The following is a 23,070-nucleotide window of genomic DNA, read 5'->3' as shown; positions in this document are numbered from 1 at the left end:
CCCACTCTGCATCACTATCTATACACATACCTCATTAGAATCTCAGAATCTATTCCTATGAGTATGTCTCAGTTTTACCTAACTCGAAAGCAAGTAGCCATTCAATCTAAAATTTATAGGTACATTGAAAGAATCCTTGGTTTCTCAAGGTCTTTTCATTTGAAAATTCACAGATTTTGATTAGAAGTTCCCTTATATAAATCAGACTTAAAAATTTGTACAATAAACCTTTTCCTGCACTTTTGCCTGAAAAAGAAAATTAATTTCTGGATTATATAAAACAAAATAATGAGGGATTTTAGGTTATGTAAAATGTAAACAACATGGCGATTATCAGCTTTGCTTACTATATCACTGTGTATTATTAAACAAACAAAGAAAACAAAAGCTCACCAGTCTCCGAAGTCCTTACAGAGAGTAAAGAAGATACCTGATTGCCATGACCAAATCTGGTGTAAGACCTTACAGAAATGTTATAGAGGGTGTGAGGTCTTAAGTTCCTTAATATTATGTCTGTTGTTGATGTGTTCTTCATATATAAAGTATCTATATTTTTATATAGCACTTCATAAGCAATAATGATCCCATTGGGCTTTTCGGGTGGTGACCACTTCAACCTTATTTCATCTGCGGTAACATCAATTACTTCGACATCTTGAGGTGATGATTCCGGTTCTAGGGGAAGAAAAGAACATTTGTAGTACCTATATTTTTATTGATGTTTGTTGCTTTAGACCCTAGAGGTAGCATGAAGTGAAGGCAGTGAGCATTTACAACCACTTTTTTAAAAAAATTAAAGCTGCAATTGATATTCTTACCATCTTCTGAAGTTCTCACAAAGATGTCATTTTCTTCAGACAAAGAACTTTCTCCAACGTGGGTTGAGGCTGCCACTCTCATTTTGTATTTTGTGTATTTCTTTAACCCTATAAGGACAAGAGACAAACTGTTTAATGTCCTTAAAATAATACTCTTGGGATTGGTGCCATTTAATATAAGGCCAGTAAGAAGAATTTATACGGGGGACTAGATATCTATATCGCTTCCAAATAATTGCAGTCTCCTCAAATTCTTGGGCTTATAGGCCTTTCCATGTTGGTGACTTCAAGTTCTCTCCTAAAATATTAAGGCAATAATTTAAAGTTGCAAAAGTAACTTTTTGGCACACTGCAGGGTGTATAGTTGACTTGGCACAAATACCATGTCAGCTGAATTACTTCAGCTGATTTTTGCATTCGTACATTTTAGTCTTCAATAATGAGTTATTTTGATATACCAGATACAGTATTCCTTCAGTTAAGTAAATTTCTATGAAGCTTGTGATCTGATGCTTTTTACTTCATTGTGGGTAAATCTAGTAAAAGAAAAACACATTTAATCGAGTTATGTATGCAGGTATTTTAAAAAGATTCATGGTGACACAAAACAACAAAATATGAAGTGACATAGCATGTGTTCTGTAGTATATAAGGCACAGGGAGATGGGCATATTTTCCACCAGAATAGAAATGTAAAATGAACAACAACAACAACAACAAAACATTGTTTTCTACCTGTTATGAGAAAGCTGTTATCTATGGTAGTTATCTGGAATGCTCTGTTTGTATCCAATTCCATTGCATAAATCGTATAGTGAGTTATTTTTCCATTGGGATATTCTGGAGGATCCCAATATAACAAAATAGATGAAGAACTAATATTTTTATAGTTTATAATTTTAATGGAGCTTGGCACTTAAAAAGAAGAATGAACATATGAATGAAAAAAAAGTATCACAGTGTACAACAGCAATATTTGCAGTTAATTGTTTCAAAGGAAATACATCCTTACCTTGCTGACGTGTCCTAACACTGAGAACTGTTGGTGGTCCTTCTCCCATGATGGTGAAAGCAGATACACTAATCATGTGCTCAGTGAAAGGTACAAGTCTCCTGATAACATAAGACAGCTGTTCAGCTGCAATGTCAGTAATATACTGATTCCTTGTAGTTACTGTTTGAATTCAGTAAAAAGAGAAAAAAAGAAAGGTGTTTGGCTTCACAATCAAAATTATTTTTTTCTTAGACTATAAAATCTTAAACCTGATTTCTCCGTATTCATTAATCTCTCCATGCACACCTCTATTAAAGTTAGGTGTGTAATAATAGTAAACATAAAAATATTAATTTTAGAGATCGTATTGAATATTACTATGAATTTCTGAGTACCTCCCAATAATAACCACAAACATTTTGTGTTCATAATATAATTTTGTTAGTTTTTACACATTACTCTGAAACATGACATTAGTGTTTTTAAGAAAACAACTTTCTTAAAGAGGCTGGTTAGGAATGTTTTCTGAAAAGAAAGAGTAGGCAATAATATATAAATGAAATATTATAAATCAATACCAGGATTTAGTAGAAGAGTTAAAGAAATATATAATTGAGATATTATAAATCAATACCAGGTTTTAGTAAAAGAGTTAAATAAATAAAGAGTTTTATTTGGACTCAAATTTCACCATATGTTCATACATTCAGTAAACCAAATAATTCTTGAAAGCAAGCATGCTTGGATAACTGACAAATAAATATCCCAGAAGAATTTCAAATGTTAGATTTTCGCTTTATTTAGAATTTGTGCTTCTAAAACTCTTAAGTAGCAATTAGGCCAAACTTGAAATATTTAAGGGAATGTCTGCATCAGAAATCATGGGACTCTTAATTTTCAGTGTTGCCCTCCAGTCTTCTTTGCACAAGAAAAATGGATCAGTAAGTGAAATATAAACATCTATTGAATGTAATGTGATTTTTTTTTACTAATTCTACCATAAATAGAATAACACTTTTAATTTTGAATGGGACAAGTACCAAATTAGAGAAAAGGTAATAAAATGTTTTTCTCATTTAACATTTTAGAAAAACTAGAGAGATAATATGTGTCAGGTGAGTATTTTTAATTTGCCACTTATGACATTCTCCTTTTAGAAACTGTAAGAGCCACTGACACTGAAGAGCAAGTGTATACACTAATGACATCACCACATCGTTGGGGTCACCTACACCTGTTTATCACACCATGCACTAGATTTGTAACTTTCTGACCTATTTACCTTTAGTGACACTTGAAAACCTATTAGTCAAAAGCTGTAGAGAATGTGAGGCCTGTAAATGATTTGAAGATATGTTAATCCCTTCCCATCACACCTGCTTTGGCAACTGTAATAACTGATTGTCTATGCAGCTTGGCCAGAGACTCTAGGGTGCTACTTTCTCCAGGAAGAAGGTCAAATGGGTTAGGAGGGGCCAGCTTCTGCCTGTGTGGCATTTCCATTTGTTGCATGAGGTTTTCCGACAGCTAAAAAAAAATCCGACTCCAGCCCAAAGACCATTAATAATATGGCTGAACTCTAAGCTTAGGTTCATTTCTGTGCTAGCTAGCACTGGTGGTTTAAATGAACTTTATAGAAAATCAAAATTCTACCTACCAACTGGTGAAGTCTGGTCTTCAGCTCTATTCCTTGCAGGAAAGTTTTTATCTGGATGGCTGTTATATATAAATGTAGCAAGTGAGTGAAGGTCAGACGACATCTCTGCTGAACCCTCATATAATCCTACCATTGGCTCTACTATGTTCACAATTTCTGGAGCCATGGGGTCATTTATATACTGTAATTAAAAGTAGATATTTTAAAAGACTGTGACAGTTACACTTCATGACTTAAATCAAGTATTAGTTCTAAAAAACCTATAACTTTGGAATCATGCTGTTATAAAAGATAACATATTTCCATGACCACTGTCTTCTTTAGATTCCAAAATTTCATTCTCCGGCTACTAATACCCTGAATCATTGTAACACATTGTGATCATTGTATTTCCTAAGAGAACAATACTGTATTTTGGGAAGAAACAGATTTTGTTCTGACTTGAGTTGGTTTCTTTATGGTAAGATAAGACGTCCTCATGCAAAGGTTTCATGACTGAGATATTGTAACTGATCACCCCCAAATGGTAAGTGTTCTAGGCATACTGATGTATTAGAATGTGTTTTGCTTTTCTAATTACCTGTCCTCATTTGTATACCATACATGAGAGGTCTATATGCCTGCTTGATATACATTAATGATAATAGTTTATAATAGAGTGAAGTTACATACCAGAATAAAACTACATGGTAATATTAATAGTTTTCACACAGGATTCATGGCATACCTGTCAAGACTCTGGACATAAGGAATATTTAAAGTAACTGCAATTGTTCCTAGATCCTATAATGTAATTCACACATGTCAAGTTCACCAAAATGGCAAACACTGAGGTGAAAACATCAGGAACAGATTATGGATGAATACAGTAGAGGTTTTCATTGAGCTAACTAGATGATTCTCATTTCTTCATCCCCACTAGCATAATTGATTGAAACAAAATGGGGAAAAGGTGTTATGGCCAAATAATATTGGATATTTGTGTAGAATGTTGACTTTGGAAATAAGACTACACATTAATCAAAGAAAATGTTGCTTTGTTTGGAGTCTAATTAGAACATACCTAATCAACATAGGATGTGAAGATAATCAAGGAAATCTGAATGTGTTCTAGGTATTAAATGATACCAGGATGGTATTAGTAATTTTGTTCATTGTGGTCATGGCATTATTTTATGGGTGGAAATGTCCATGGTTTTTAGAAATTCGTGCTTAGGCATATAGGAACAAAATGATGTTAAGTCTGGAATTTATTTAAAAACCGGAGGCAAGAATGGCAGCCTATTGATGATTACTGAATCCAGGTGGCAGGTATATGGAGGCTTATTAGACTCTTTTCTGTACTTTTAAACCTGTTCAAAATTTTCCAAAATCAAACAGTTTTGAAAAAAGAATATGCTGAAAAATCTACTCTCTTTTACTAATTTTTTTCAAGTTCTGCTTCAAAACTTACCTCCAAAACCCCTTTTTTTAAAAAAATTCTATTCCTTATCAATTCCATGCTCTTTTACCCTCAGAGTTTATATTAATTCATAATATAGGTTTCAGTTGTTTATAAGTTTTGGTATATCTGTCTTTTAATTATCTTACATGTTTTGGAGTTGTCTTCACTCAGAGAGCCAAAAACAGGTTTTCTAGGCCTTAGGAATATCAAAGCACTTAATACTTTCCAAAAAAGAAAGTAGGTGCTCAGGAAAAAGTTCAGTAAAGCAAGAAATTTTATGGCATTTCAGTTAACTATCTACAATGGCAAGTTACTTAAATATTAATTCTTCTGAAAGATAAAAGAATGGAGAAATGAGTCAAAAAATCTTCATTCCTCCAAATATTTACAAAATGCAATTGTCTAAATCTTGTTACAACTCTACCCAGAAAAGTGCTGTCATGAAAAGCAACAGGTTTCCCATAAAAGCTACTTTTTAAAAGTTGTGATAAAGAACTATGGATAGGGAACTCTATATGGGTTTGTTCCTATGTCCTTGTATGGGACAAAGTAAAGATCTTCTGTCTTACAACAGCTCACTTCAGCACTGCCTCCACAGGGAAATTAGGGAGGGCAGGAATCACAAACACATAACTCAGAGAAGCTCTGGTGTTGCAGTCAATACTTTATGCCCAAACCACACAGCTGTTTCCACTATCAATCAGTCACCCTTTGAAAATCTACTGTGTACAAAGCACTATAGAATGAACTATAGTGAGGTAGCACAAAGAATTTCCCCCTCAACTATGGTTTTGCATTAAATCTCTCAATATTTTCTATCCCATGTCAGACAAATTATGGAGAGTTAAAGCATAACATCCCATCAATTACATATGTTAAGCATCTCTGCTGACAAACTACCATTTCAAAGTGAGAGTTGACCCGAATGCTTTTGACTATGTGAATGACTCTCAAATTCTGATATTCTGACATTAGAAAAACCCTCCATAACTTGGGCAATGATTTGAACATTGGCTTTGTAACAACCCAGAATGTTATCACTAAGTGTGTCATGTTGCAAATATTTCTCACACTTAACCTCTTAAGAAAAGACATTAGGTTAGATGATAGTTAAGTTTTCATAATGAGAAAAAAAGTAATAATATTAAAAGCAAAAATGTTGGGAAAGAATTTGGACTTAAGAGAGTAGTGGGAAGGGGCAGAGAGAAGCAGCAGTAGAAATGAGAGAAATAGGAGGGAAAAAAGTCCATTGCAACACCTAAAAATTCGCAACTCACTGATTTAATACAGGGTTCCCAACCTCAGCACTACTGACATTCTGAATTAGATATTTTTCTGTTGCGGAGGCTGTCCTGTACATTGTAGGATGTTTAGCAGCTTCCCTGGCCCCCAGCTACCTCAGTTGTGACAATGAACATGTCTTCAAAGATTAACACATGTTTCTTGGAGAGCAAAACTGCCGCTGGTTGAGCACCATTGAGTTAGGGAATGTCACAATTTGTCAACATGAAAGGCCTTGCCTATGCTGCCCAGGAATTCTTGGAATTTATGTGAAAGAATTAGGAGTCTTCAGAGATAAATTCCTAATCCACCTGAATAAACCAACTTGATTTTACATGTAGTAATCTTCATTATAGTGAATGTAATTGTATTTTCTAAAAAACCCTATCACATCTATCAGTTTGGGGTCACTGGAGGTCTGCTGAATTGAATTAATGAAATGTTTGACTTATTCTTAAGAAATGCTTCTATATTTTAATGTAGACTAAAACATGATTTGTGCTGTTATCAAGAAGTGGTAAAAAGAAAAATTTTTTTAATTAGCATATGCTGGGAAATTTTCTGAAGGATACCGTATCATTCAACACATTATTCAGGTGAACAGATCTTTAAGTCTTGACTCCGTTTATGTTCCTAATGCTGAATAAAATAAACCTATCTCAAGACATTCCTAAACTACTCTTGGGTTCTGTCCTCAGCCTCATTCCTAGCAACCAGCCAAGCCCTTAGCACAAGACTTTCTTCTTACATTCACCAGTGACAAACGTTGATATTCTCAAGGAATATGTTGGATGAAAAGATGCATCTATATCAATCTCAGAAGTCTGTAATACTAGGCAGCAATATGTCTGTTGGAGAAAAATGTCTCAGGTTTCTAATTGAACAAGTACTGGATGGGATCTGACTGTGAAGTTCAAGCAAAGAGCAGTCCACGGAAATGACTTCAGGGTTTTTTAGACTTCAGTCTCAGTGGAATGAGGCTCCCAATGAAATGATTTTTTTTTATTTCACTGTTTTGAAAGAAGGAAGAAATTTACTTCGAAGGAGAAAATAATTATGCTCAATTTGGCTCCATTCAAACTCCATACAGAATATTGTGTTCAAGTGAGTAAGAGGATCCTTGACAAACTGGAAAATATGCACAGGAATATAATCCATGATATGAAGGACCTAGAAGCCATGACTAATAAAAACTAAGGATATTAAGTCTTCGGAAAACTCTGACCATTATCTTCAATGAGAAAGAGTTAAATCATTGTTTATTATTGTTGTTACTGCAAAGGCTAACATTTTAAGCTACTGTGTGTTACAGAGTGTTAAATACTTTTACTCATGTGATCTTGCTTTATTGTCCCCCCAAAGAGATAGATGATTTTTATCTCCATTTTACAGTCATCTGTTCAAGTTCACAAAACTAGTGACAGCAGAGGTAGGATTGGAACATTTTTCCTGGCTCCAAAGTTCATGTTCATAACCACTGGAATCTACTGTGTTGGTCTAGAGAGGAGACTTAGGACGAACTGATGAAAATTAAAAGACAGGTATTTCAGTTCAAAGTAAAGAACACCGTAGTTTCTTATTCATCTATGGGTTTCTGTACCTAACAGAGTGCCTAAAACCTCATGATTACTTAAGAAATAGATGCTTATGGGACCATAACAAAGAATACTTCAAAGCTTATAGGATAGGAGCTACTTTTGCAGTGGTAGATATCCTATAACAGTTGATCAAATATTTTAGCAGAGGCTGGATTCACCTCATTTATTAGGAATGTTATAGATCAGATACATATATAAGTGTGGAAGTTGAAATAAAAGATCTCAAACCCTGAGACTCATTTTGCTAATGTAATTTTCAAATATTTGTTTAAATATTAACAGTAAAATCTTATACATATTTCAGCTTGTTTAAATAATCCATATTTATTCAGAAACAAATAGATCATGGGATTCACTGGAAAAAAATTCAATAAGGGTAATGAGATCAAATCATGCCTAGCATAGGAGGGTTATATTTTTAAGTTTAATCATCATGTTATATCTACATGGCTACAAAAAAAGATGATGAAGGGTTTATAATGAAAATAACAATTCCCTGTTTATACCCTCCCTACCTCTTACTTCCCAGAAGCAACACTTTAAACCACTCCTGTTTTCAGTTCTTATGGTGTTTACCCCTAAAACACTAAATAATATGCATATACTGCTCTGTTAACACTCATTTTTAGAATCTATTGATTTTCTGCAATGCTAGTGAAGAGTTAGGTTACTTAAACACATATATACCTTCGTCATCTGTTCTCAATTCTTATTAGGTTACTTTCATAATGTAAATAACATACTTAAATCTGGAAGGATTATTCTAATAAGTGTTTGAAATATAAAATAGTAGGCTGGGGGAGTGTAGTGCATGGCCTCTCAGGTAGATACCCACTATACCCACCTCCTGTTGTTCCTGCTTTGTAAAATCTCCTCTTCTTTAGTTAGTTGGGACCTATGATTTGTATCTAACCAATAGAATAAGGCAAAAGGAATAACATGTCTCTCCCATGATCACATTATATAGACCCTTCTTACTAGCTTGATGAAGTAAATGGCCATGTTGAAAAAGGCCACATGGGACAAAAAAAAAAACAACTGTAAGGCACTAAGGGGATTCTCCAGCCAAGAGCCAGCAAGAATCCAGGGCCCTCAGTTCTAAAGCCAAAAGGAAATAAAATCTGCCAAAACCTGAATGAGGCTGCAAGTAGATTCTTCCCTAGTCAAGCCTCCAGATGAGAACACAGCTCAGCTAGTTTCTTACTTGCAGCCTTATGAGACTCTAAGAGGAGAACCAATCTAAGCTGTACCTAGACATCTGACCCAAAGAAACTGCGCGATTATAATTGTTTTAAGCTGCTAAGTTTGTGGAAAATTGTTATGGAACAATGGAAAACTAATATAGTGAGATAACAGTAGTCCAGGCAAGGGACTATGCAATCCTGAGCTGAAGTGGGGGATACAGGAATAAAATAAAGACATATGCAAGTCACATTCTGGATGTAGAAATAACTGACCTTAACATTAAGTGGCTATTGAATGCTAAGTAGGATCTAAGTCAGAAGTGACTCCAAGGTTTCAAGCCTTCATGACAGAGAGGATAATTGTTCCATTATCCAAAAAGACAAACATCAGACATATATCAATGCCATAAATGCTCACTCTTAAAGCCTTCTGGACCATGGTTTCTTAGACAATGACCTTGAGGTCAGAGATTTGTGTTATGTCCAGTCAGAGGGATTAGAAAATTCTAAACCCAGGTACCAAGACTTCAAGTCAGCCGCTCTTTAGGCCTTATTCTTGACACACTGACACTATTAATTGCCTGGACAGACCTTATGGGTGCCCTGTGGGAACCTGCACAGGTCACTATCACTGTCCCAAGATCTCTGTCCTCATTCCAATGTCACATCTTCCCTCCCATCATGAAGCCCCTATTATCTCAGAGAAGATTTCTGTTTTGTTTTATGGGGAGAAATTTATTTAGATGTAATGAGCCCTGGTGGACTCTTCCCACAAATGGCTGCAATTAGGAATCCAGAGCGTCAGAGAGAAGGATCAGAGTAGAAAGTAAGGCAAAAGAGTCAGACAAATAGGAAGCAGTGATTGAAACTGTTAGGTCTTCAAAAGAAAATGTTATGAGATGGCTGAAACCAAAGCTCTGTGGAACATCTTCACTAAAAAGTTAGAAAATAGAGAGAGTTAGCTTTTTGAACTTTCATTTTTAATTGTGCAAGGCCAAAGAATTGCAATGTCACAGTACATAAAATTGCAGAAAGTATTAAGGAACAAATAGTTTCAAAAGCTGAAAAGTGGGGGGACAGAGGGATGGATTTTGAAGGAGATAAGAACACAAGGGTGGTTAAAAATATTTAATTCTTGTGTTGCACACTGGGGAGGTCACTGGTGACTTCTAATAAGATTTCAAGCATTTAAAGAGTTCTTGAGTTGGGGAATGAGGCTACTTTTTCAGAAGATCAATAGAAATGGGAAGAGAGTCCTCATCCTGAGAGAGGTACCAAGGTCAAAGAAAGGAAAAACAAATGAAGAACACACTAAGCCACAAGTTGTATTTCTTATGTCATTTACTCCCAACCCTGTAAGGTGGCTATATAAGCCCCATTATATAAATGAAGGCACCAAGTCTCCAAAAGTTGATTTTTCTAAGGTCATAGACCTAGAACACGGCAGAGTCAGGCCAAGAACCCAGGGCCATTTGGATTTAAAGCTTCTGTCATATCTGTCTCCCCACATCAATCTCCTGAAAGGTAAACCCAAACACCAGCTACATGGGGAAGCAGAAATATCAGAAATGAGTCTGATCTAATAAAGAAAGATATAATCAGAGAAGTAAAGAGAAGCATAATGTCTCCTTTCATTGAGAGAGTATAAGGGAAGTAATATTGGGTAGCAACTAAGGTGGATGATCCTATGCCAAGATTAATGATCACAATAGGTCACAATTATTTAGCACAGCACTTACTATATGCCAGGTACAGTTCTAAGCTCTTTACACACATGAACCCATTAAATTCTCATTATTAACCCTTTGTTATAGGGACTTATAATCACTATCTTAGAGAAGAAGAAACTGATGTTCAGAGAGCTCAGGCCAACTTTTCCAGGGTTAAACAGTTAGTAATGGCAGAACTAGAGTTTAAACCTGGTTTACAGTCTTAACCACTTGCTATATAGCACAGTGAGAGACAAAATCATAATTTAAATCCAAATTTGTACGTCTCCAAAGCTCATGAGCTCTCTACTATGAGACGAGAATTGCAGACCAGATAGAGACAGAATCACAAAAAAAAAGCCTTTCTAGAACCTCTTAGCTTCATGGAAAAACAGGTGTGGCCACCCATTCAACAGATGTCATTAGCAGAAGTGGGAAACCTGTCATCTAGTACTAGGAAAGCTCAGTATCTAATTTAAGACCTTCTCAGCAGGAGCAAAGGGTTAAGCTTTTGCCCTTTGCCTGAGTTGTCAACCAGAGTATCACAGAAAGCATAATTCAACATCTTTTGCACAGAGGAAAGGAATCAACATAGGATTAAAATTTAACCCTGGGTTGAAGATGGTGAGCAACTTGGAGTGATAAGTCCTGGGTGGCCAGAATGCATTGAGCACATGGTGAGGTCAACTGTCACATACAGGTAAGTGCCAGAAATAGAGGAAGGCTGGGACTAGAAATAGAATGAAAGCATGTGTGGGGGAAAATAACAGCACAGGTAGAAGCAGCAGCAATTCTGAAACAACACAGCAGACGCCAGGTGCTGAATAACTATCGTGTTTGTCTTTAAGGCCCAGTGATTGCTGCACTGGTCCTAAGGAAGTTTATTCTTTGAATGCCCCGGGGAGCAGCCAGTATCTGGACATGACTAGCCTGGAGGCTGAAAGAGTCTCACAGGTGAACAGTTGATGAAGTGAGGTGAACAAAGACAGTGGAAAGAAAAATCAGTGTTGCCTGTACTTCCTAACAGAAACAAAAGGAAAAAAATAAGACTTCCAGTGTGAATAGAAGCAAACACATTGCCTAAAGATCCTGGTCCTCTTATTTAAAATCTATGAAACGACTTAAATTTCTTTTATTTAGTAATGTGACTCTTAATCAAATGTACTTTGAAAAAAAAAAAGAGGCAGCTTTGAGAAATTTAGCTTCCCAAGACCAAATAGAACAGAATCATTTGTCAACAACAGCTACTAAAGTTACTGTGCCTTTCACTGGCAACTGTTCCAAATTGCAAGCACAGCCTTTGAAGGAGCACTTAAATCATAACAAGAGTTTCCGAACAATTCATTAACTAATTTAGAAAAATAATATTAACTTATGAAAATACCTTTAGTCCTGTTTAATTGCACAATTAACATTTTTCATATGATGAAAAGGAATAATAGCACTTAACTAATAATATATAACCTAAAATGAAATATGATCTAGCTAGATTATCAACATGCCCCAAATTTACTTTACTTTGTACTAGTAAGTGGTCAAATATTACATGTGTGGGTGCTAGCAAATCTTCCAAGCTATCAGAGCCAGAACCAAGCAGAAAGGGTTCACCAATAAGTGAAATAAAAATGCAATACCTCATTATTTCCAGTGAGCAAAGTATTTTCCAAAATTATTCCTGTCTCTGGAACTAGCACTTTCACTCGGTATTGGTTAATAATTCCATTTGGTTGTCGTGGTTTCTTCCAAGTAATTCTTACTTGCGTGGATTCTACCTCTGCAAGTTGTAAATCAAACACTGCCCCTGGAACTAAGAAAGAAAGAAAGAAAGAAAAGAAAAGGGGGAAATTAAAAATATTTTTTCAAGTGAAAAAAGTGCCTAAATTCTTAGTTCACAATTTAAGATATATAAACAATTCTATTAGAAAACAGACTAGGCTAGGTGCGGTGGCTCATGGCTGTAATCCCAGCACTTTGGGAGGCCAAGGGAGGCCAATCACCTGAGGTAAGGAGTTCGAGACCAGCCTGACCAACATGGTGAAACCCCATCTCTACTAAAAAATACAAAAATAAGCCAGGCATGGTGGTGCGTGCCTGTAATCCCAGCTACTCAGGAGGCTGAGGCAGGAGAATTGCTTGAACCCAAGAGGCGGAGGTTACAGTGAGTGGAGATTGCACCACTGCACTCCAGCCTGGAAGAAAGAGCAAGACTCCATCAAAAAACAAACAAACAAACAAACAAACAAACAAACAAAAAACAAGAAAGAAAGAAAATAGACAAAAACAATTTATTTTGTTAAAAATTAAATAAGTCTTAAAAAAAGGATGAGGTCATGTCCTTTGCAGGGACATGGATAAAGCTGGAAACCATCATTCTCAGCAAACTATCACAAGGACAAAAAACCAAACGCCGCATGTTCACACTCATAAGAGGGAGCTGAACAATGAGAACACATGGACACAGGGAGAGGAACATCATACACCGGGGCCTGTCGGTGGGTGGGGGGCTAGGGGAGGGATAGCATTAGGAGAAGTACCTAATGTAGATGACACTTTGATGGGTGCAGTAAACCACCATGACACATGTATACCTATGTAACAAACCTATACGTTCTGCACATGTACCCCAGAACTGAAAGTATAATAAATTTTTGTTAAATTAAATGTCTTTAAATACATGGATATTTAATACTAAATTTCTTTTTTTTCTTTTATTATTATACTTTAAGTTTTAGGGTACATGTGCACATTGTGCAGGTTAGTTACATATGTATACATGTGCCACGCTGGTGCGCTGCACCCACTAACTCGTCATCTAGCATTAGGTATATCTCCCAATGCTATCCCTCCCCCCTCCCCCCACCCCACAACAGGCCCCAGAGTGTGATGTTCCCCTTCCTGTGTCCATGTGATCTCATTGTTCAATTCCCATCTATGAGTGAGAATATGCGGCGTTTGGTTTTTTGTTCTTGCGATAGTTTACTGAGAATGATGATTTCCAATTTCATCCATGTCCCTACAAAGGACATGAACTCATCATTTTTTATGGCTGCATAGTATTCCATGGTGTATATGTGCCACATTTTCTTAATCCAGTCTATCATTGTTGGACATTTGGATTGGTTCCAAGTCTTTGCTATTGTGAATAGTGCCACAATAAACATACGTGTGCATGTGTCTTTATAGCAGCATGATTTATAGTCCTTTGGGTATATACCCAGTAATGGGATGGCTGGGTCAAATGGTATTTCTAGTTCTAGATCCCTGAGGAATCGCCACACTGACTTCCACAATGGTTGAACTAGTTTACAGTCCCACCAACAGTGTAAAAGTGTTCCTATTTCTCCACATCCTCTCCAGCACCTGTTGTTTCCTGACTTTTTAATGATTGCCATTCTAACTGGTGTGAGATGATATCTCATTGTGGTTTTGATTTGCATTTCTCTGATGGCCAGTGATGATAAGCATTTTTTCATGTGTCTTTTGGCTGCATAAATGTCTTCTTTTGAGAAGTGTCTGTTCATGTCCTTCGCCCACTTTTTGATGGGGTTGTTTGTTTTTCTCTTGTAAATTTGTTTGAGTTCATTGCAGATTCTGGATATTAGCCCTTTGTCAGATGAGTAGGTTGTGACAATTTTCTCCCATTTTGTAGGTTGCCTGTTCGCTCTGATGGTAGTTTCTTTTGCTGTACAGAAGCTCTTTAGTTTAATTAGATCCCATTTGTCAATTTTGTCTTTTGTTGCCATTGCTTTTGGTGTTTTAGACATGAAGTCCTTGCCCATGCCTATGTCCTGAATGGTATTGCCTAGGTTTTCTTCTAGGGTTTTTATGGTTTTAGGTCTGACATTTAAGTCTTTAATCCATCTTGAATTAATTTTTGTATAAGGTGTAAGGAAGGGATCCAGTTTCAGCTTTCTACATATGGCTAGCCAGTTTTCCCAGCACCATTTATTAAATAAGGAATCCTTTCCCCATTGCTTGTTTTTCTCAGGTTTGTCAAAGATCAGATAGTTGTAGATATGCGGCGTTATTTCTGAGGGCTCTGTTCTGTTCCATTGATCTATATCTCTGTTTTGGTACCAGTACCATGCTGTTTTGGTTACTGTAGCCTTGTAGTATAGTTTAAAGTCAGGTAGTGTGATCCTCCAGCTTTGTTCTTTTGGCTTAGGATTGACTTGGCGATGCGGGCTCTTTTTTGGTTCCATATGAACTTTAAAGTAGTTTTTTCCAATTCTGTGAAGAAAGGCATTGGTAGCTTGATGGGGATGGCATTGAATCTGTAAATTACCTTGGGCAGTATGGCCATTTTCACGATATTGATTCTTCCTACCCATGAGCATGGAATGTTCTTCCATTTGTTTGTATCCTCTTTTATTTCATTGAGCAGCGGTTTGTAGTTCTCCTTGAAGACGTCCTTCACATCCCTTGTAAGTTGGATTCCTAGGTATTTTATTCTCTTTGAAGCAACTGTGAATGGGAGTTCACTCATGATTTGGCTCTCTGTTTGTCTGTTGTTGGTGTATAAGAATGCTTGTGATTTTTGTACATTGGTTTTGTATCCTGAGACTTTGCTGAAGTTGCTTATCAGATTAAGGAGATTTTGGGCTGAGACAATGGGGTTTTCTAGATATACAATCATGTCATCTGCAAGCAGGGACAATTTGACTTCCTCTTTTCCTAATTGAATGCCCTTTATTTCCTTCTCCTGCCTAATTGCCCTGGGCAGAACTTCCAACACTATGTTGAATAGGAGTGGTGAGAGGGGGCATCCCTGTCTTGTGCCAGTTTTCAAAGGGAATGCTTCCAGTTTTTGCCCATTCAGTATGATATTGGCTGTGGGTTTGTCATGGATGGCTCTTATTATTTTGAAATACGTCCCATCAATACCTAATTTATTGAGAGTTTTTAGCATGAAGGATTGTTGAATTTTGTCAAAGGCCTTTTCTGCATCTATTGAGATAATCATGTGATTTTTGTCTTTGGTTCTGTTTATATGCTGGATTATGTTTATTGATTTTAATATATTGAACCAGCCTTGCATCCCAGGGATGAAGCCCACTTGATCATGGTGGATAAGCTTTCTGATGTGCTGCTGGATTCGTTTTGCCAGTATTTTACTGAGGATTTTTGCATCAATGTTCATCAAGGATATTGGTCTAAAATTCTCTTTTTTGGTTGTGTCTCTGCCTGGCTTTGGTATCAGAATGATGCTGGCCTCATAAAATGAGTTAGGGAGGATTCCCTCTTTTTCTATTGATTGGAATAGTTTCAGAAGGAATGGTACCAGTTCCTCCTTGTACCTCTGGTAGAATTCGGCTGTGAATCCATCCGGTCCTGGACTCTTTTTGGTTGGTAAGCTATTGCTTATTGCCACAATTTCAGAGCCTGTTATTGGTCTATTCAGAGATTCAACTTCTTCCTGGTTTAGTCTTGGGAGAGTGTATGTGTCGAGGAATTTATTCATTCCTTCTAGATTTTCTAGTTTATTTGCATAGAGGTGTTTGTAGTATTCTCTGATGGTAGTTTGTATTTCTGTGGGATCGGTGGTGATATCCCCTTTATCATTTTGTATTGCGTCTATTTGATTCTTCTCTCTTTTTTTCTTTATTAGTCTTGCTAGTGGTCTATGTATTTTGTTGATCCTTTCAAAAAACCAGCTCCTGGATTCATTGATTTTTTGAAGGGTTTTTTGTGTCTCTGTTTCCTTCAGTTCTGCTCTGATTTTAGTTATTTCTTGCCTTCTGCTAGCTTTTGAATGTGTTTGCTCTTGCTTTTCTAGTTCTTTTAATTGTGATGTTAGGCTGTCAATTTTGGATCTTTCCTGCTTTCTCTTGTGGGCATTTAGTGCTATAAATTTCCCTCTACACACTGCTTTGAATGCGTCCCAGATATTCTGGTATGTTGTGTCTTTGTTCTAGTTGGTTTCAAAGAACATCTTTATTTCTGCCTTCATTTCATTATGTACCCAGTAGTCATTCAGGAGCAGGTTGTTCAGTTTCCATGAAGTTGAGCAGTTTTGAGTGAGATTCTTAATCCTGAGTTCTAGTTTGATTGCACTGTGGTCTCAGAGATAGTTTGTTATAATTTCTGTTCTTTTACATTTGCTGAGGAGAGCTTTACTTCCAAGTATGTAGTCAATTTTGGAATAGGTGTGGTGTGGTGCTGAAAAAAATGTATATTCTCTTGATTTGGGGTGGAGAGTTCTGTAGATGTCTATTAGGTCCACTTGGTGCAGAGCTGAGTTCAATTCCTGGGTATCCTTGTTGACTTTCTGTCTTGTTGATCTGTCTAATGTTGACAGTGGGGTGTTAAAGTCTCCCATTATTAATGTGTGGGAGTCTAAGTCTCTTTGTAGGTCACTCAGGACTTGCTTTATGAATCTGGGTGCTCCTGTATTGGGTGCATATATATTTAGGCTAGCTCTTCTTGTTGAATTGATCCCTTTACCATTATGTAATGGCCTTCTTTGTCTCTTTTGATCTTTATTGGTTTAAAGTCTGTTTTATCAGAGACTAGGATTGCAACCCCTGCCTTTTTTTGTTCTCCATTTGCTTGGTAGATCTTCCTCCATCCTTTTATTTTGAGCCTATGTGTGTCTCTGCACGTGAGATGGGTTTCCTGAATACAGCACACTGATGGGTCTTGACTCTTTATCCAATTTGCCAGTCTGTGTCTTTTAATTGGAGCATTTAGTCCATTTACATTTAAAGTTAATATTGTTATGTGTGAATTTGATCCTGTCATTATGATGTTAGCTGGTTATTTTGCTCATTAGTTGATGCAGTTTCTTCCTAGTCTCGATGGTCTTTACATTTTGGCATGATTTTGCAGTGGCTGGTACCAGTTGTTCCTTTCCATGTTTAGTGCTTCCTTCAGGAGCTCTTTTAGAGCAGGCCTGGTGGTGACAAAATCTCTCAGCATTTGCTTGTCTGTAAAGTATTTTATTTCTCCTTCACTTATGAAGCTTAGTTTGGCTGGATATGAAATTCTGGGTTGAAAATTCTTTTCTTTAAGAATGTTGAATATTGGCCCCCACTCTCTTCTGGCTTGTAGGGTTTCTGCCGAGAGATCTGCTGTTAGTCTGATGGGCTTCCCTTTGAGGGTAACCCGACCTTTCTCTCCGGCTGCCCTTAACATTTTTTCCTTCATTTCAACTTTGGTGAATCTGACAATTATGTGTCTTGGAGTTGCTCTTCTCAAGGAGTATCTTTGTGGTGTTCTCTGTATTTCCTGAATCTGAACGTTGGCCTGCCTTGCTAGATTGGGGAAGTTCTCCTGGATAATATCCTGCAGAGTGTTTTCCAACTTGGTTGCATTCTCCCCGTCACTTTCAGGTACACCAATCAGACGTAGATTTGGTCTTTTCACATAGTCCCATATTTCTTGGAGGCTTTGCTCATTTCTTTTTATTCATTTTTCTCTAAACTTCCCTTCTCGCTTCGTTTCATTCACTTCATCTTCCATTGCTGATACCCTTTCTTCCAGTTGATCGCATCGGCTCCTGAGGCTTCTGCATTCTTCACGTAGTTCTCGAGCCTTGGTTATAAGTTCCATCAGCTCCTTTAAGCACTTCTCTGTATTGGTTATTCTAGTTATACATTCTTCTAAATTTTTTTCACAGTTTTCAACTTCTTTGCCTTTGGTTTGAATGTCCTCCTGTAGCTCAGAGTAATTTGATCGTCTGAAGCTTCTCTCAGCTCGTCAAAGTCGTTCTCCGTCCAGCTTTGTTCCATTGCTGGTGAGGAACTGCATTCCTTTGGAGGAGGAGAGGCGCTCTGCTTTTTAGAGTTTCCAGTTTTTCTGTTCTGTTTTTTCCCCATCTTTGTGGTTTTATCTACTTTTGGTCTTTGATGATGGTGATGTACAGATGGGTTTTTGGTGTGGATGTCCTTTCTGTTTGTTAGTTTTCCTTCTAACAGACAGGACCCTCAGCTGCAGGTCTGTTGGAGTACCTGGCCATGTGAGGTGTCAGTGTGCCCCTGCTGGGGGATGCCTCCCAGTTAGGCTGCTCGGGGGTCAGGGGTCAGGGACCCACTTGAGGAGGCAGTTTCCCCTTTCTCAGATCTCCAGCTGCGTGCTGGGAGAACCACTGCTCTCCTCAAAGCTGTCAGACAGGGACATTTAAGTCTGCAGAGGTTACTGCTGTCTTTTTGTTTGTCTGTGCCCTGCCCCCAGAGGTGGAGCCTACAGAGGCAAGCAGGCCTCCTTGAGCTGTTGTGGGCTCCACCCAGTTGGAGCTTCCAGGCTGCTTTGTTTACCTAAGCAAGCCTGGGCAATGGCGGGCGCCCCTCACCCAGCTTCGCTGCCGCCTTGCAGTTTGATCTCAGACTGCTGTACTAGCAATCAGCGAGACTCCGTGGGCGTAGGACCCTCCGAGCCAGGTGTGGGATATAATCTCGTGGTGCGCCGTTTTTTAAGCCCGTCAGAAAAGCGCAGTATTCGGGTCGGAGTGACCCGATTTTCCAGGTGCCGTCCATCACCCCTTTCTTTGACAAGGGGAAAGGGAACTCCCTGACCCCTTGCGCTTCCCGAGTGAGGCAATGCCTCGCCCTGCTTCGGCTCGCACACGGTGCGCACACCCACTGACCTGCGCCCACTGTCTGGCCCTAGTGAGATGAACCCGGTACCTCAGATGGAAATGCAGAAATCACCCGTCTTCTGCGTCGTTCACGCTGGGAGCTGTAGACTGGAGCTGTTCCTATTCGGCCATCTTGCCTAAATTTCTAAACATTGTTCTCGAAATGTAAGTAAGGAGCAGAATAACAGAATAATTTTCCAAAATAAAAGTCATAACATTTGTTTGAAACAAATTAATTAATAAAAATAATTTTCTTGAGAATCTGCCTATTTGGTGATAATTAATGCCAGTTGAAATCTTGATGGTTTCATAAAAATTATAACAACAGATTGAAAATTAATATCCAGAAGACTCTGAATGCAATTAAATATAGTTGGTAAGTTAAATTAGACTGCGTTTTAATTTATTACATGAAATTGTTTGAAGAGTTGATTGATTTTTTTCTGATATTTTAAAAATAATCATGTTATTTTCAAATTTCAGGTGCCCTCACTCATTGCAATAGTAAATAAAAATAGGAACAAACTAACAATTGGTTTAAAATAAAGTACCAAGAACTTAAAGCAAGTTCTAGTTGTAAAGTCACTAAGAGTGACATCTAGGGAACTTCCCAGTTTCACAGGAGTAACGGGCAAAAAACAAATATCCCCTGGGCTTTTGATCATTTTTATTTACAGTTCAACTTGTGATTATGAATAGCTCATGCATCCCTCCAACCTCTACTTTCCTTATCTATAAAATGGGTGTCATTATAGCTTTCCTATTACTATACAGGTTACTATAAGGAACAAAGAGTTCAAGAAAATTTCTCAAATTTCTAAAACTTTTAAGAAAGAGAAAATGGCATAAAATTATGATCCCTTATTATCAGATTGTTGTTACACTTTCAGTTAATTTCCCTAAACTCTCTGGCAGCGGTACAGGTTTAGCAAATTCTAGTTAGAAGACAGGCATATAGTCTTAAAAGGGAACAAAGGAAAAATGACCCCCTTTCTTTTTAAGACAACAGAAAGGAATTGAAAAATAATTTTATAACTCCCATATATGTTATTTATAATGAGCAAATATAATTATGCTTAAGTTGGCTTTATAGTAACTATGACTATACAAAGTTTTCATCCAATAGATTGAGTTTTTTCCTTTGTCTTCATGAAGTAACCGGTAAAGACTCCCTAGATATTGTGACAATCGTTGGGCCATTCATTCATCATTCAACACACTGAGCATTGATCATATGATCACTGTTCTAGGCACTTGAGGACAGAGGAAGGAATAAGACAGATAAAGCCCTTTGCACAGGTCACCTCTAGTATGAGTTTTATTTCACTAAAATATATTGTACCTAGAGCTCATGTTTGCATCATCATATTTACCAATATGCAATTTACCAATATGCATTTTTCAAGGGTGGAGAAACTTTCCAATTAATTGTGTGGTGTAAAATAACATGGCTATTTAAATAGCAAAGCTCCTATTCCATCTCTTTTTAAAATTTTATTTTGCAGTTTTTATGCAGACAAAACAATAGCCAGTATTGCATAACTTAAGTCAGAGGAGATCTGGCACTTTTTCCATTTATTTTGAACTGATGTAGAATCTCAACTGAAAAAAAAAAAACAGCTAATGACTACATTGATCATATTAATCAGGCAACTAAACCCTGCCTATTGAAAGATAAGTGAAATGATCAGTTCAAGTCAACGCAACACACTAATGTGTTAGATATCAAATATTATGCAGGACAGCAGAAAACTATATATATTTTACTGTCTCTTATTTTGCTAGTGAAACCAAGAGTAGTAGCAGACACTATTTTTTATCTTTTAATTAGCATATATATTTCTATATATTCTATATATTCAATACTTACTTTCTTAGTAAGTGTTGCCCCATGATACTTAATGCCAAAAATTACAATCCAGGTAAAGATTAAGTGGTTCTATATTACCTTAAAATGTACCTCAAACTTGCATAAAAATAATGACTATAAACTTATCTTTTTTTTCCTATTTAAGCTTAGGGGATAAAGGAAATGGAGTCAACAGCATTGTATCTTGTCTTTAAAAAGATACTTGATCTGTTAGACCACAAATTCTTATGGGGAAACTAGAGAAGACTTTAATATTGATACAAAATTACCTAAAGAAAATCAAACACACAACTCAATTATTCATGGTTCAGCATCAGTTTTGAAGGTGATGTCCACAGGAAATACCTAAGAGTCATTCTCAAGTCGATACATTTACAAATTTTACAAATAAATGAGAAATAAGTTAGACATTTGGCCAAAAAAATCTCACATTTTCTTTACCCCAATGCCATTTTCTCCAACTTCAAAATTAATGCTGCTCGATGATGAATTTTCTAGATAATGGCAAAATAATTTTAATTTTGAAGGTGTTATATACATGGACTACCTAAGAATTATTCTCGAGTTAATATATTTATAAATTTTACTAATGCATTAGAAACACAATAGCATATGATTTATTAAAATATATTCCAAATGATTTGAAGTGTTCAAATGAAAAACTATGAGAAGAAATGAAATAGAGACAAACAGCATTGAGGTAAAAGAAAATACATTAAGATCATTTTTGCCATTATCTAGCAAATTAAAGTTTCTTTAGAAGTATATTTTGAAAAACAAGTAGTAAAAATTAAAGCCATTGCAAATCCTGAAAACACAAAGTTGGCAGGCTCTCAGTTATTTTCCTGCAAAGATTTTACTACTATTTGCAGAAAGTAACAAGTTTAAATCACTGAGGACAAACGTCTTCACTGCCATAGTCTGTTTAAGAGGGAGTAAACAAGAATCTCAGAAATTTGTCTGCTTTTAAGAAATGGTCATGCTAAACTACCCTGACAGAAAAGTTGTTAGACAATATTGAAGCATCACAGTCTGCTTATTTTTTTTACCCCTCACACAATTTAGAAGAATGCTGTTGCCTATGTTATATTCATCAGCATTATCTGATTTTGGAATAGGCAACTCTATGACATTTTATAGCTTTGGAGATTATTATCTTTTTTTTCCAAAATCATTTATTTTCATGCCTATGCAGAAATCTACTCATCAAAATATTAAGAGACATATAGAGGGCTTAGGAAATACATAAGAGAACTGCTAAAATAATAGGATGCTGATTTTCTTTCAAAGTAGACTATGGACCGTAACATCCCCAGGGGTAATGAAATCAACTCCACTGTAATGTAATAGCACATAACATTCTCTATAAGAGGTCAATGCAACATTTTTCTATGAGTATCTGGAGATTTATAAGAGCACCAATTGTTTTAAAAGGTAATTTAAAAGAAGCAAACTAGTCCTAATTATTTTTTAAATAGATGATAGACTGGTTTAAAATATGGAGAAGAAATTAAATTAAGTAACTTTAATTAGAATACTAAAAACCCTGTTGTATTAATGAAAAGGATAATATAAAATTAAGAAATCATTTTTAAATTGAAAGATAGTTCTAATGAGTTATCACATTGTTTTCATATAGTTTAAAGATCCATTTATTTCAAAGTTTTAAATACTGAAACCAGGATTAATTAGTGGTGTCAGAAGTAGAAAGCTACATTTACTGCATTTGCCAGAGTATTCCATTGAGGCAGCTCCTGTGGCTGAACTATCCCAAGAGAACTCCATGGATGAAGGCTGACATGAGGATATAAGAACCATGCCAACCCTGCCTTTGGTGGAACCCACCAGTTGCCAGGAGGCCCCTCTAAGACCCACCAGGGTGTGATCTATAGGAGGAGTGACTCAGGAAGATAACAGAATGAAACACAGGACAAATTGCT

The 23,070-nt window shown here is 36.6% G+C and overlaps 1 protein-coding gene across 1 annotated transcript in view; it reads right to left on the bottom strand.

The window, feature by feature from the left end:
* PTPRQ (protein tyrosine phosphatase receptor type Q) overlaps positions 1–23,070 on the bottom strand; it is a 236,039-nt gene that overhangs the window by 183,349 nt on the left and 29,620 nt on the right. The window contains exons 9-14 of the mRNA NM_001145026.2: positions 12,320–12,492; positions 3,470–3,650; positions 1,831–1,992; positions 1,554–1,733; positions 819–926; positions 394–675 (exon numbers count right to left, since the gene is read on the bottom strand). Coding sequence (NP_001138498.1) covers positions 394–675; positions 819–926; positions 1,554–1,733; positions 1,831–1,992; positions 3,470–3,650; positions 12,320–12,492 — 1,086 coding nt within the window. The remainder of the gene's footprint in view (positions 1–393; positions 676–818; positions 927–1,553; positions 1,734–1,830; positions 1,993–3,469; positions 3,651–12,319; positions 12,493–23,070) is intronic.

This window comes from Homo sapiens, chromosome 12 (assembly GCF_000001405.40).
Source record: "Homo sapiens chromosome 12, GRCh38.p14 Primary Assembly".
Taxonomy (NCBI): Eukaryota; Metazoa; Chordata; class Mammalia; order Primates; family Hominidae; genus Homo; species Homo sapiens.
Note: the sequence above shows the minus strand (reverse complement) of the source record. Positions and strands in the feature narration are given on the sequence as shown.